The sequence below is a fragment of the Homo sapiens genome, chromosome 1 (assembly GCF_000001405.40).
Source record: "Homo sapiens chromosome 1, GRCh38.p14 Primary Assembly".
NCBI classification, from domain to species: Eukaryota; Metazoa; Chordata; class Mammalia; order Primates; family Hominidae; genus Homo; species Homo sapiens.
The window spans coordinates 235,699,802-235,714,094 of NC_000001.11; the positions used below are offsets into that span (position 1 = coordinate 235,699,802).

At 37.0% G+C, this 14,293-nt stretch overlaps 1 protein-coding gene across 10 annotated transcripts in view, besides 1 other annotated feature; it reads right to left on the reverse strand.

Annotated features, from left to right (window-relative positions):
* The window catches only part of LYST (lysosomal trafficking regulator), a 222,683-nt gene that overhangs the window by 38,771 nt on the left and 169,619 nt on the right, over positions 1–14,293 (reverse strand). For 8 of the 10 annotated variants that reach the window (XM_011544032.2, NM_001301365.1, XM_011544031.2 and 5 more), the window contains 3 exons: positions 12,256–12,396; positions 9,290–9,507; positions 2,946–3,176 (listed from right to left, as the gene is read on the reverse strand). In XM_011544032.2, coding sequence (XP_011542334.1) covers positions 2,946–3,176; positions 9,290–9,507; positions 12,256–12,396 — 590 coding nt within the window. Of the gene's footprint in view, positions 1–2,945; positions 3,177–9,289; positions 9,508–12,255; positions 12,397–13,159; positions 13,376–14,293 lie in introns of those variants that run through there. The other 2 variants (XM_047443027.1, XM_011544035.3) reach the window with 1 other exon arrangement.
* Positions 8,443–9,642: an enhancer, noted in NCBI's record as "MED14-independent group 3 enhancer chr1:235871544-235872743 (GRCh37/hg19 assembly coordinates)". NCBI's record gives its function as "activates an origin of replication core promoter dependent on BRD2, BRD4, P300/CBP and CDK7 cofactors, and independent of MED14, by STARR-seq in HCT116 cells {active_cell/tissue: HCT116}" and the evidence as "EXISTENCE:reporter gene assay evidence [ECO:0000049][PMID:35650434]".

Here is a 14,293-nt window from a genome sequence, read left to right on the forward strand (position 1 = left end):
TTTTGATTTGCATTTCTCTAATGATCAGTGATCCTGAGCTTTTTTCCAACAGTAACCAAAACAGTATGATACTGGTACCAACACAGACATATAGACCAATGGAATAGAACAGAGACTTAAGAAATAACACCACACATCTACAACCATCTGATCTTCAACAAACCTGATAAGAACAAGCAATGGGGAAAGGATTCCCTATTTAATAAGTGGTGCTGGGAAAACTGGCTAGCCATATGCAGAAAACTGAAACTGGACCCCTTCCTTACACCTTATACAAAAATTAACTCAAGATGAATTAAAGACAAATGTAAAACCCAAAACCATAAAAACCTTAGAAGAAAATCTAGGCAATACCATTCAGGACATAGGCACGGGCAAAGATTTCATGACGAAAAGGCCAAAAGCAATTGCAATAAGAGCCAAAATTGACAACTGGGATCTAATTAAAGAGCTTCTGCACGTCAAAAGAGACTACCATCAGAGTGAACAAGCAACCTATAGAATGGGAGAAAATTTTTGCAATCTACCCATCTGACAAAGGTCTAATATCCAGAATCTACAAGGAACTGGTACAAATTTACAAGAAAAAAACAAACGACCTCATGAAAAAGTGGGCAAAGGATATGAACAGCCACTTCTCATAGAATATTTAAAGAGGAGTGCTTTATTGAAATGCTTTTTATACAGCTCTGATTGTTTTGAACTTCAATAGTGAACTGAAGTTCACACAAGCATACCTGGGTCATCCAGATGACCCCCTTATAAATGAGTACTGTTGCTTGGTTTCAAGGCTTGTGTTTGCATTTTGTGTAGATGTCAAGTGAAGGCCCACAGAGTCAAGAAGCAGTATGGTGTCGAAAGTTTCACCGTGGTTCAAATAAAGAAAAGCAGTGGCATAAATGTCATTACACATCACACAGAAATGCAGCAAACCAAACCTTAAAGAATTTGCATCAGAGAAGACATTAATTTAAAAAATGCTGAGTGTCTATTATATGCCCAGGACCTTCCTAGGAACTGGGGACACAGTAATGAACAAGACAGACAAAGTCCTTGTGTTTATGGAGTTACATTCTATTTGGGATGGGAGTATAGACAAATAAATAAACAAATACATATACAATATGTCAGGTGATAGAAGTGCTATACACCAAAACAAAGAAGGGGAAGGGATCTGAGGATGACGGAACAGCTGTTTTAGACATAATTAGACTTAGATATAATCAGAGCTTTTGGAAAGCATTTAAATGGGGGTCAGGGAAGACTCTGAGGAAGAGATGTCTGAGCAGAGACTTGAATGAGATGAGGGAGCAAACTGGGGATATATCTGGGGAGTGGTTATTCCAGGTGGAGCAAAGAGTCATCACAAAGGTTCTGAGGTGGGAATGAAGCAGGCTGGTACCATGTTCCCACTGCGAGCAGACATACTGCTCAGATACAACTTTAACAGCTAACGAGCAGTAAGTATAGTAGTAAATTAAATGGCATTTATTAATTTTCAGGGATGTATTGTAAAATTATGCTGACATGTTAAAGTGACAGATTGGGCTGGGTGTGGTGGCTCGCATCTGTAATCCCAGCACTTTGGGAGGCCGAGGCGGGCAGATCATGAGGCCAGGAGTTCGAGACCAGCCCGGCCAATATGGTGAAACCCCGTCTCTATTAAAAATACAAAAATTAGCTGGGTGTGGTGGCGGGCGCCTGTAATCCCAGCTACTCGGGAGGCTGAGGCAGGAGAACTGTTTGAACCCGGGAGGCAGAGGTTGCAGTGAGCCGAGATTGTGCCACTGCACTCCAGCCTGGGCGACAGAGCGAGACTCATCTCAATCAATCAATCAATCAATCAATCAAGTGACAGATTGTAGTTAAAAATAGTGACCCTGGTAATTACAGTGACTAAAGTGATTTGTGAAGCTTCAAAAACAGAAAACAAAAAATATAGTTTTCTATTATGAAACTCAACACTTGTAATTTAGTTTTAGCAAAACAACACTGTCTACCATATTAATGCTTTAAAATTGAATTTCACTGGTGGAATAAGTTTTGTTTGTATTTAACATGAACATTTGACATATGTGAGCTATGAGCGCAAATAATTTATATCCAGTGTTCTGTCTTACATAAAGTAATATTACAAGGAATAATAGTCAAAACAAGGTGTAGGTGTGTAAAAACCTTTTCCTCTTAAAATAGGTCACAGATTACTGCACTTTGAGATACACTGAGTTATTTCATCTTTAAGGTCCTTTACAACGTCTTTCCCTTACCTTTTCATTTTCTGTGATTTCCTTCTGCAAACCCTTACAGTGCTTACAATTCACATTCTACTATCTTATGCTGTTTTTATAACGAAGAATTGAGTTGAAGATTAAAATCCACTTTAGCTTTAAGGCTTGCTTGATTTTTCTATTTTGAAGTAAAAATTATACCTACTTCCTATTTTTGGAGGCAATACTTCTTATCATTACAACCTGAGGAGGCCAAAGAAATATGTAAAGTTCCCCTTAGGTATAAACCAAAACATCCGCATCACTGGTCAATCCTTTTGATTGTAGATGATAACCAAGACCATGGTATGCATGTGTACACTGGCACACCAATGCTCAAACTATTCTCTAGTCCTTCTCTTCTTGCTTGAAAAATCCTATTATGTCACTGCCCTGCGAGGCTTTCCCTGGGAATAACAATTCTCTCTGCTCCCTGAGGGAGGTTACCGTCTGAAACGATGAATTCTTTTTTCCTCTGAGCTCCCCAAAGCACTCTCTCATATCGCTAACACAGCATTTACCTCGCACAGGATTCTGCTTTCGCTGCTGCACCTGTCTTGCACTGACTGGCACACAGCTTTAGGCCAGGACCATGCTATTCATCACCTGGGAGAGTGCCTGGCATCACAAGAGTCTAATCAGGTTTTGCTGCACTCGATTGAAATCCAAATGACATACCGGATAGGTGATTTCTTTGACCTGTTCTCGGGTCTCCCTGAAAGCAAACTGCACTAGCAACCCCACAGCAGCTGGAAGCTCTCCTTCAATATTGAGCTTGGCTCCAGGTCTGCTCACATGGGCCATGTGGAACAGCTGACGGGGAGTCTGCCCGTAGGTTTTTATCATGGTTTCTAGCGCTCGTCTCTGAACTGGATCTTCAACTGCAGAGACATCCATTCCAAAATATGTCTGCAGAGTGAAAGAGTAAAGGAACAAGACATATGTAGTAAAAAGAAAGACTTGACAATAATACCAAAGGGAAAAACAACACTTTGTTTTATATTCTAGGTTATGGAAAAAATGCTTTTGTTCAGGTTAACAATCACTCATGGTCTCACTGAGATCAGAAGTATCAATGTTTCTGAATAGGTGAACAAAAACAACGTATCTTGACTGATGGTTATAATTAGTTATGTTTATAAAATTAGCTTTTAATTTAAGATCTGAGAATATCATATATGACCTGATACTAAATTATTGAAGAAGTTGCTTATCCAAAGCAATATATAGGAAAAGGCAAAAATGAAGTTAAAATACAATGCTGGTAGATAGTTGAAGAGATAATTATTTAGGTTCTAATCAATATTGGGGATAAAACCAAAAGAGCAGCAATGAAAATTCAAAGCTCTTAAATGTAAAGGGTATTATTGTACTAATAAAATTACTGCACTAAGAAGCATATTTTTTCTTAGTGTCATTATCCCGTAGAGTCAGATGGAGAGCAATGCACATTTACTTATTTCTAAAGCTGGCGGTCAGTAATTGAGTACAGATCAGCCATATTTTGTACATATCCACTTGATGGCTTAGCTTTTCGTATATTTAATCAGTCATAGTGGCTTTCATTACATATCTAGACATAACATTTCTATAAATGCCAAAATAAAATTCCAAAGATATTTCAGAAGTTAGGTCATCTTCAACTCCATTCTCCTCACCACAACTCCCAGCACCAGTGATCAAATCCTTTTTTTAAAAAAACCTTTAGGTTCAGCAGTACATGTGCAGGTTTGTTATTTGGGTAAACTTGAGTCACAGGGGTTTGTTGTACAGATGATTTCATCACCCAGGTACTAAGCCTAGTACCCAGTAGTTATTTTTTCTGATCCTCTCCCTCCTCCTATCCCTCACCCTAAAATAGGCACCAGTGTCGTTGTTCCCCTCTTTGTGTCCATGAGTTCTCATTTAGCTTCCACTTACAAGTGAGAACATGTGGTATTTGGTTTTCTGTTCCTGCATTAGTTTGCTAAGGGTAATGGCCTCCAGCTCCATACACGTTCCAACAAAGGACATGATCTTGTTCTTTTTTATGGCTGCAAAGTATTCCATGGTGTATATATACCACATTTTCTTTATCCAATCTGTCATTGATAGCCATTTAGGTTGATTCCATGTCTTTGCTATTGTGACTAGTGCTGCAGTGAACATTCATGTACATGTGTCTTTACGGTAGAATGATTTACATTCTTTTGGGTATATACCTAGTAAAGGGATTGCTGGGTAGAATAGTAGTTCTGTTTCTAGCTCTCTGAGGAATCACCACACTGCCTTCCACAGTGGTTGAACTAATTTACATTCCCTCCAACAGTGTACAAGTGTTCCCTTTTCTCCAGAACCTCGCCAGCATCTGTTATTTTTGACTTTTTAGTAATAACCATTCTGACTGGTGGGAGACGGCATCTCACTGTGGTTTTGATTTGCATTTTTCTATTGATCAGTGATATTGAGCTTTTTTTCATATGTTTGTTGGTCACACGTATGTCTTGTTTTGAAATGTGTCTGTTTATGTCCTTTGCACACTTTTTAATGAGGTTGTTTTTTTCTTATACATTTGTTTAAGTTCCTTATAGATGCTGGATATTACACCTTTGTCAGATGTACAGTTTGCAAATATTTTCTCCCATTCTGTAGGTTGTCTGTTTACTCTATTGATAGTTTTTTTTCCTGTGCAGAAGCTCTTAAGTTAGATCCCACTTGTCAATTGTTGCTCTTGTTGTGAATACTTTTTATAAACACTTATCTAAGAAAGGCCAATTGCAATGGCTACTTAATGTACTCAAAAAATCAAATAAGGATTGATACACTCCTGTAGCTAGAACTGTTTTAAAATTTATTTTAAAATAGTGCTTTTCAACATTCTGTGGTATTCATTTCTAAGTGAACCCCATGTATTAGTGAACGGTCATTAAGGGCAACAGGCATCTCTACATGCCTTTTTAAAAAGTTAACATTTATTTGTGCTTAATTGTGTTAGCAGACATTATCCTACATGAATTTCCTTCCTCATTTATGAGGTTGGTTTTATTATTCACATTTGACAAGTTTGTACATTTTGGTACAGAGAGGTCAAGATATTTGCCCTAAGGTCACACAACAAGTGGCAGAGTCACAGAGTGAGGATCTGAACTCAATCCTTAATTCAGAGTCTCTGCACTTAATCGCCATACTTTGTTTTGCCCCATTAAATAAGTTTTATTAAATTCTTAACGATGGCATAAACTTTATCCTTCTAAAAGTTACTAAAGTCCCAAAGAATTAGTGAAAAAAAATTCCAGTCAGATGAGAATTACCATGTGTATTTCAGTCTTCAGATACTTTTTTTTAAAAAAAAAATTGAGACAGGGTCTTGCTCTGTCAACCAGGCTGGAATGCAGTGGCACGATCATGGCTCACTGCAGACTTGAACTCCTGGGTTCAAGTGATCCTACTGCCTCAGCCTTTTGAGTAGCTAAGATTACAGGAGTGTGCCACCATGCCCAGCTAATTTTTAAATTTTTTGTAGAGACAGGTTCTTACCATGTTGCTCAGGCTGGTCTCAAACTCCTGGCCTCAAGCGATCATCCTGCCTCAGTCTCCCAGAGCATTTGGGTTATAGGCATTAGCCACTGTGCCTGGCCCAGTGATACTTTTAATGTAAATTTTATATAAGAATAACTGAAAAGATGGTTCAGGATTATAAACAAAAAGGGTATAATGAAGTTAATGTTAAGATTCCTAATTGCTCTTTTTATTTTTATTTTTTATACAGGGTCTCACTCTGTCACCCAGGCTGGAGTGCAGTGGCATGATCTTGGCTCACTGCAACCTCCACCTCCCAGGTTCAAGCAATTCTCCTCCCTCAGTCTCCCAAGTAGCTGGGATTACAAGCAAGAGCCACTACCACCCAGCTAATTTTTGTATTTTTAGTAGAGACAGGGTTTTGCCATGTTGGCCAGGCTGGTCTTGAACTCCTGACCTCAAATGATCCACACGCCTCGGCCTCCCAAAGTGCTGGGATTACAGGCATGAGCCACCATGCCTGGCCTCCTAATTGCTTTTAAAGTTGCATTTTGGAATCAAATGAAGCTCAAAAATCAGACCCGAAGCCTTGCATTTATTTTATACTTGATGGAGTTTAGGACACACAACCCCAAAATTTCGTACCCTGGCATACTGAAGGAATCTGAGGAACAGCATGTGCACGAAGGACTTTTTGGCTTTCCCCTGAAGCAGATCATAAGATTTTCACTTAGGAGTTACCCTCCCTATACCTGTAGTAAAGAAGCACCCTCATTTCAGAAGACAAAGGGACACAGAGGAATCTGAACAAACAGGTCCTGCTATTCCCCTGGTTAATCACACTTAGCTCCTACTCCTTTGTCCTATCATTTTTCTTCATGACATTCCATTCCTCATCAAACCAGACATAAAAACATTCAGGTTTAACTACTTGGGGTCTTATTTCCACGTGAAGCCTCCCGTGCCACATAAAACTTGCATTAAATAAATTTATATGCTTTTCTCTTGTTAATCTGGGTTTTTGTTTTTCTTTGTTTTTGTTATTTTGCAGAGGCTCCAGCAAGTGAACCTGAGGAAAAGAAGGCATTTTTTCTCCCTTACATATTAATATTATATGTAAAGTTGTTATTCACCAATGAAACTATATTATTCTCCTTTTTTAGAATGAACTTTTCCATAGCATTTATCTTCTATTAGAATAATTAGGAAGCCTATCTTATTCTCTTTTCTAGATTATAAATCTCTTAAGAAATTTAATTTTATATGACTTCAGACGTACTCAAAATAATTATGGAACAAAATGAACTAATGAGCTTTTTATTTTAAAGCTACTTTTGGGGAATGGACTACTGGCCTAAATAAGCTCAGATATGGAGTGGTCTACTGTAGGTTCTGTGTGTGCACTTTACCTGTATTTGTTATAAACGCTTGTAGATTTGCTACAGTCGACACAGAAAATTACAGTTAGTGGAGAAGTCCTTCAGATATTTCCTTTTAAAAGGAAGTATCTTTCTTTTCAGAATCTGCTTTTTCACCTCCCACTCCTTGAGGGATTTCCTTTCAGCGGCCTCATTTGGACTCTACTACTACATCCAGGCAGGCCCATCTACCTTGGAGAGGAAAGTTGGCTTTCCTCCTAACCCCCTTCACCCTATTTGAGTCTTATTTACTTTTGCATCCCCAGCACCTAGCAAAATAAATGTTTCCTGAAGAGGTAAGATTTTTTTTTTCTAAAGTTAGTCTAGCCAACAACATCAAAAAGTATACTTGAAAATGTAGGCCAGACATGGTGGCTCACGCCTGTAATCCCAGCACTTTGGGAGGCTGAGGTGGTGGATCACGAGGTCAGGAGTTTGAGACCAGTCTGGCCAAGATGGTGAAACCCTGTCTCACTAAAAATACAAAAATTAGCCAGGTGCGGTGGTGGGCGCCTGTAATCCCAACTCCTTGGGAGGCTGAGGCAGGAGAATTGCTTGAACCTGGGAGGTGGAGGTTGCAGTGAGCTGAGATCACGCCACTGCACTCCAGCCTGGGTGACAGAGCAAGGCTCCATCTCAAAAATAAATAAATAAATAAAAAGTAAAAATGTAACAATTCTACTTCTAGGAATTTATCTTAAGGAAGTAAAGATGTACATAAAAATAACCATAGAAATATTAATTTTAATAGCAAACAAATCCTAACTAAATATCCAACAATAGAAGACTGCTAAATAAATTATTCTATAGCTATACTTAAGAATATAGGTTGAGTATCCCTTATACAAACATTTGGAACCAGAATTGTTTTGGATTTCAGGGTTTTTTTGGGGGGGGATTTTGGAATATTAGCATTATTTACTTAGCAGTTCAGTATTCTTAATCCAAAAATCTGAAATCTGATATGCTCCAATGAGCATTTCTTTTGATTATCATGTTGGCACTCAAAAAGTTTCTGATTTTGAAGCATTTTGAATTTTGGATTTTTGGATTAAGAATGCTCTACCTATAGTAAGTAGCCATTAAAAATAATGTAGAATGATACCCAATGACTTGAATAAATTTAAGATTATCTTATTTAGGGAGAAGATAAGGTTACCAAATAGCATTATTATTATTATTATATAAATGGAATGATACATATGTATAGATAGAAGTCTAAAGGTGCTTTCACTATTTATTTCTGGATGGTGATATTAAAGTGGACTTTAAAATTTCTCCCTGTTGCTAGTCTGTATTTTATACATTTTTCTAACAAAGTACAAGTACTTTTTCTGTAATAAGAAAACATGGTGCCATTTTAAAGTAGAACATGTATGTAGGATAGTGTGCGGAAAAGAGTTAACATAGCAAGATTGACTGCTATCTCTGGAAAGGCCTGCTTGCAAAGTTGGCTCTTGGCTGTTGTCTGGGAACCTGGATTTCAGGAGAGGTCCTACCATTCCCTAACTGATAAGAGTGGCTTACTGTGCCTAAACTGTACAAACAATGCAGTTTATACCGAACACCTGCTTTCCTTCTGAGGCTGGAATTTCAGTATGTGCGAGGCAGAGGGTGCCTACGTTGCCAATCTCAATAAAAGTCTTGCACACTGAGCCTCTAATGAGATTCCCTGGCAGACAACATTTCACATGTGTCATTATGACTCGTTGCTGGAGGAGGCTGAGTATGCTTTTTGTGCTTTACCAGGGGTAGATTCTTGGATGTTTGTGCCTGCTTTCTCCCAGACTTTGCCCCATGCTGATTCTACTTTGTATCATTTACTGTAATAAACCTGAGCTGGAAGGATGACTATATGCTGAATCCTCAAGTCCACCTAGTGAATCATCAAACCTGGGGATTGTTTTGGGGCACCTCTGAAAAAGATAGTATCTTGTTTTTAAAGAGAGGAAATATAAAACCTGAAAAATCTTAGGTGACAGTTTAATGCTACTACCAATTCTCTTTGATAACTTGAGTGTTTTAAAGGAATGGCCGAACAACTAACCTTAAAATATTCAGGTTCTATCTTATATAAATACAGATTGTTTTAAAAGAGTCACTTACAGCAGGATGAAAAACATTGATCGCTTGAACAGAAGCCTTCCCCTTTTGCTTATACCCAAACACCAAGTCAATCCACTGACAGATGTTCTGCGACACGTAGTCAGACTCTAGAGCCTGCCGATGGATGAGGATAAAAAGACGAGGATCATTACGCGCCCAAGGGGGAAGGTTGACGTGATTAACCCGTTCACCATTCTGACGCACACCAAAATCAAAACCTAAAAGAGAAGATTAATATTAATATTTAACTCCCCCACAGCAAGTTTCATTCAGCTACAGAGCAGGTCTTAAGAGTTCACAAAAATAGCTGTTTGTGTGCTACAACCAAAAAAGGGAATAGCAAGGAGGATTTACATTTTGAATAAGAAACACCACTGCTCATCTACTTATGTACCTACTAATAGGGCTATGTGAGCTAATGCTATCATAATTAAATTTGAGATCTTTCAACTTTATCCTTCTACCACTTTACAACATATTGAAGAAAAGGAGAAAACCATTGCCTACTAATTCCAATATTCTGACTATTCACATCTTCAAGGGCATTAAGTACTTAAATATCTATTCAATTGTAAACCTGATTAGAATCAAACTAAGGCTTTGTAGAAGCATTTCTAAACTATTGGTATTAACATTTTAATAAATTTAAGATTATATTTAGTAAATATTAGTATTCTATAGTTTAAAAACTCAACTAATATAAAGTATACACATTGTTAGAATGAATTGCCATAGTCTATTAATTTTATAAGTCTATGGGTCTGTTCTGACTTCCTTTCTACTAAGCATTCCTGTAGATAGCAAAATTATCCCAACACAGGAAATAAGAGGGTTCTTCTGTGATGTAAATGAGCTAATATCTAATTGTCTCATCAGTATAAACAAAAATCTCAGAAGTGTTTATTTAAAAAAATTATCCTAAAGGAAATGTTACCTTTAAACAGAAATGGCTTTTTGTGCTACATTTTCTAGTTTGCTGAACACCATAACAAAAATTAAAAATGACCTTTTAAAAGCTGATTAAGTTCCATGTAAAATTAAGTTGCTGTCTGTCTACTTTTTGATCTTGTAAAAACAGTTAGAAGGATCTTCACCAAAATACTTGGGAAGTATTTTGAAATGATATGATATGGAATATAAATCAAGGGTTTATATAAATTCACATGGGATGGGGATGTGAGCATCTCAGAAAGCTCAGCAGTCATCGTACAGAGCAGCTGCATGGTTGATTTAGGATGGACTGGCTGAGCACCTGCAGAACTCCATGTGTGTGGCTTCAGGAGCGGCAGCAGCAGGAACTTATTTATTTAACAGTGAATGAGGCATCTGGGAATGGGCTGGGGATGGGGTGCATAAGGGCATTTGTACAAACTCAATCTTTCCCAACTTTCAGGTGTTCTGAGGGAACATCTGACTCCTGACCCAAAGCAGACAACTGACATACGAGAGTCCCAGGGGAACACTGATAGGAAATGATATGATATACGCTGTAAAAAACTGTGTTTTCCAAAAATGGCTATAACAGCATTTCCTGTCTTGCATGCCCTTCCAGAATCTTGCTACTCTCCATCACAAGGCAAAGTCTATCTTCCTTTCTTTTGAATCTGGGAAGACACTTGTGACTGCCTCAATGAATAGGAAGAATACAGTGGAAGTGATGCTGCGTGGCTGCTAAGAACAGGCTGGAAAAGGCCATGCAGCCTCTGTTCGTCTCCCTCTTGGAACACTTGTCTTTGGAACCCTGAGTTGCCAAGTAGGACATCCAGGGCTGCCGTGCTGTGGGGAAGCCCAAAACTAGCCCACACAGAGAGACCACATGAAAAAACACTGACATTGCATGAAGAGAGGGTGATGTGCTCCAGCTGCCTAAGGCTTCATCTCCTGCCTGTTCCAGCTCCAGAAAACCTGAAGGCAACAGCATGAGACACCCTGAGCTAAAACCATCTAGCTGAGCTGTTTCTGAACTTCTGACCAATTTCTTATTTCTGACCAATAAAAAATAATTTTATTATCTGTGATTGATAATAAATTTATTATTGTTTCAAGCCATTAAGTGTTGAGATTATTTGTTATACAGCCACAGATAGCTAGAACATACATATAAGAGACCATGGACAGAGAAAACAAGGAGTAGATTTAAACAGGAGTCCTAAATGAAAAGCTTCAAGGCAGGTGCCCCAAATTGCAGGTGCTGATGTTTGACTGAGGCATTTCTCACTTGAGCAACACTATGAAATAAGCTCCAGGGTGGCATGAATCTACTGATGATTCAATAATCAATCAAACAACCTCAGAGACACAGATACTATACAACAAAATTCCAATGTAATTTGCCCAACACCAACTTCTTAAAGCTGTTTCATATGCTCTTAAGGATCACATAAAATTATAGAATTAAGTAATATAAGAAAATGACCCAAAGATACCCCTTAAAGGGTTAGCTGCTCTTCTATTTAAGAATAGCTAAGGTTGGCAGCCAAGACTGTTAGTTGGCATCACAGAAAATTTGATTTTATACTCCAGTATTCCTTTTGGTTATTAGATAATTCTGGGCAGAGTATTTTATTTTTATTTTGGTCATTCCTCATAAAATAATTGAGATTTCAGTTAATTTACATTTTGCTTTCAATAAAGTCATACCTCTTATTTTTAAAGTAATTAGCACATTATAACTTTTGTATTCAGAAAAAAGAATAAAGCAATTTCTATAATAAAATTAAAATACATATTTACAAATAACTTTAATAGTTAAAAGTTACAGTTTTCCAAACATATTTAGTCCTATAAAATACTTAAAATCCTCAAGCTTATTTGAAAATAGAATTATATACTTAATAAAAAACATTTTCTCTTATTTGGGGACTCAAAAATTTTTAGGACTTAAAAAAGCTATTTTCATTTTTGGAAAATTACAAAATAACCACAAGCCCTCAGAAATATAAATTAAAAATAATTTATTGCTATACCTTCACGGTTAACTAGGAACTCTGGAAGATAGAAAAACTCTGGGATAAGTTCTTTCACATCAGTCATAGATTCAAAAGATGAGAGTCGCCAAGTTGTATTTGTAGAATGAAAAGTTCTGTCTGGAATGTCAAAACTTTGATCTATAAAAAAATACAAATAATACGATTAAGACACAAAGACCTAATTCTATTTGAGGCCTATCATAATTAATTTACTTTTGCCACTTCAAAAAGATTAAAATAATGCTAATTTTGTTTGCCCATAGTTTAAAAGAAGTTATTCATGTTCTTGAAAATAAATATTTCTATAAACTTGAGATCATATTACATTTTTCATCTGTATTATGCTTTTGTAATATATATTATTAGATTAGTTTATATCATCTATTTGTTTAATTTTCGTCTATCTATCAAAGTAGAATGAAAGTTCCACAAAAACAGGGCCCTGGGATATCACCCACACCTTGCACATAATGGGTATTCAATCATGGTTTATTTATTGAATGAATGAATAATGAAGAAGGAAGATTTAAGTTCAAGTAGGCAAACAGTTTTTTCCCCATCAGGAAGCATGATTCCTTCACTTTGAATTGTTAAGACTACTTTTTCTCCTTTCTTTTCTTTCTTTCTTTTTTTTCGGGGGGGTGCGTAGGTTACGGTGCATTGTTTTTTGGTGTTCTAACTCTGAGCTAAAGAATTGAGTAAAATTTCCTGTGAATGAAAATAAAAATAAGCATAGTCACTCTTTCGTTCATTTTTTTTCCAGGGTAGACTATTAATAATAAAGAATTAAGTTTGGACTCTCTTTTCTGCCAACAATGATCAGACTTTCTAGCCATAGGGAAAGGCCTAGAATATTAAATGATATCCAAAAGCTAGCCTCTGAAAACAGTAGCAGTTTACATGTTTCTTAGGAACCATATTGCATCATCTAAAACTCCTCTGAACTTGTTGAAATTTGAACACATCTTTTCATTTGGAGACTGCCACAAACACATCGCAGCATCAGGTTTCTTCTCCCAGCCTTAGTTGCTCTGCTGAGCAACATCTTCTGTCACTTGTATTACTTTCTCATCTATTCTGTTGAGTCAATTGGCATTGGCTGGCCACTAAAAAAAATCTGGGAAGAAATAAGGTTTAGAAACATTTACTTTTTCTCAGAAAGTAAGGAGGGCCACTTAAAGAAATACCTACTAACTTAGTAGAAAAAGTTATCAATCAAAATGGAATTCAGAAAAATTAAGGTAATTCTCAAAAACAAACAAAAAAACTAAAAGAAAAATTAAGGTAATTTTGTAAGGCTATGGTGAGGTCAAAGTATCTGGAGCTAAGACTAAGGAAATACGGAACAAGAGTAGCACATTGGGTAGGTTCTGTTCAGATTTTAAGATTCTCTGTATTTTCCTACATTTTATTAAACAGTACTACTACAAATTCCCATTATCTAGAATATGCATATATTAAACCTGTGGTTCTCAACCAGTAGCACTTTTGCCCTCCAGGGGTTATTTGGCAATGTCTAGCAACATTTTTGATTCTCACAACTGGGGGGATGGGGTGTGGGTGGTGGTGGTACCACTGGCACTAGTAGGGAGAGAACAGGGATACAGCTAAACGTCCTACAATGCACAGGGCAGCTCCCATGACAAACGAATTATGCAGCTCGAAATGACTACAGTGCCAAGGTGGAGAATCCCTGCATTAAACCAAAGCCAAGAAATAAATTCAAAAGCCAACAGATATCACTTGAAACTAATGAGATGAAAGTGAATGGAGACTGAGGTAGTCCTAGGTTTTAAACAAAATATATTCATAAATACATAATGAAGAAAACATAATATATGAATACATTCATAATAGTAACATGAATAAAAATATTGATAAATTTTAGTTGATTGGTAGTTTTATATTAATGGGTTCTTGGGCTACATTAAATGAAATGTAGTCTTGGATGGAGGGAGGTAATAGTTCTGTTAAACACTGTAGGGGCCCAAACCACATCTGAAATATTCTTTTTTATTTTGACTGCCTTTTTCTT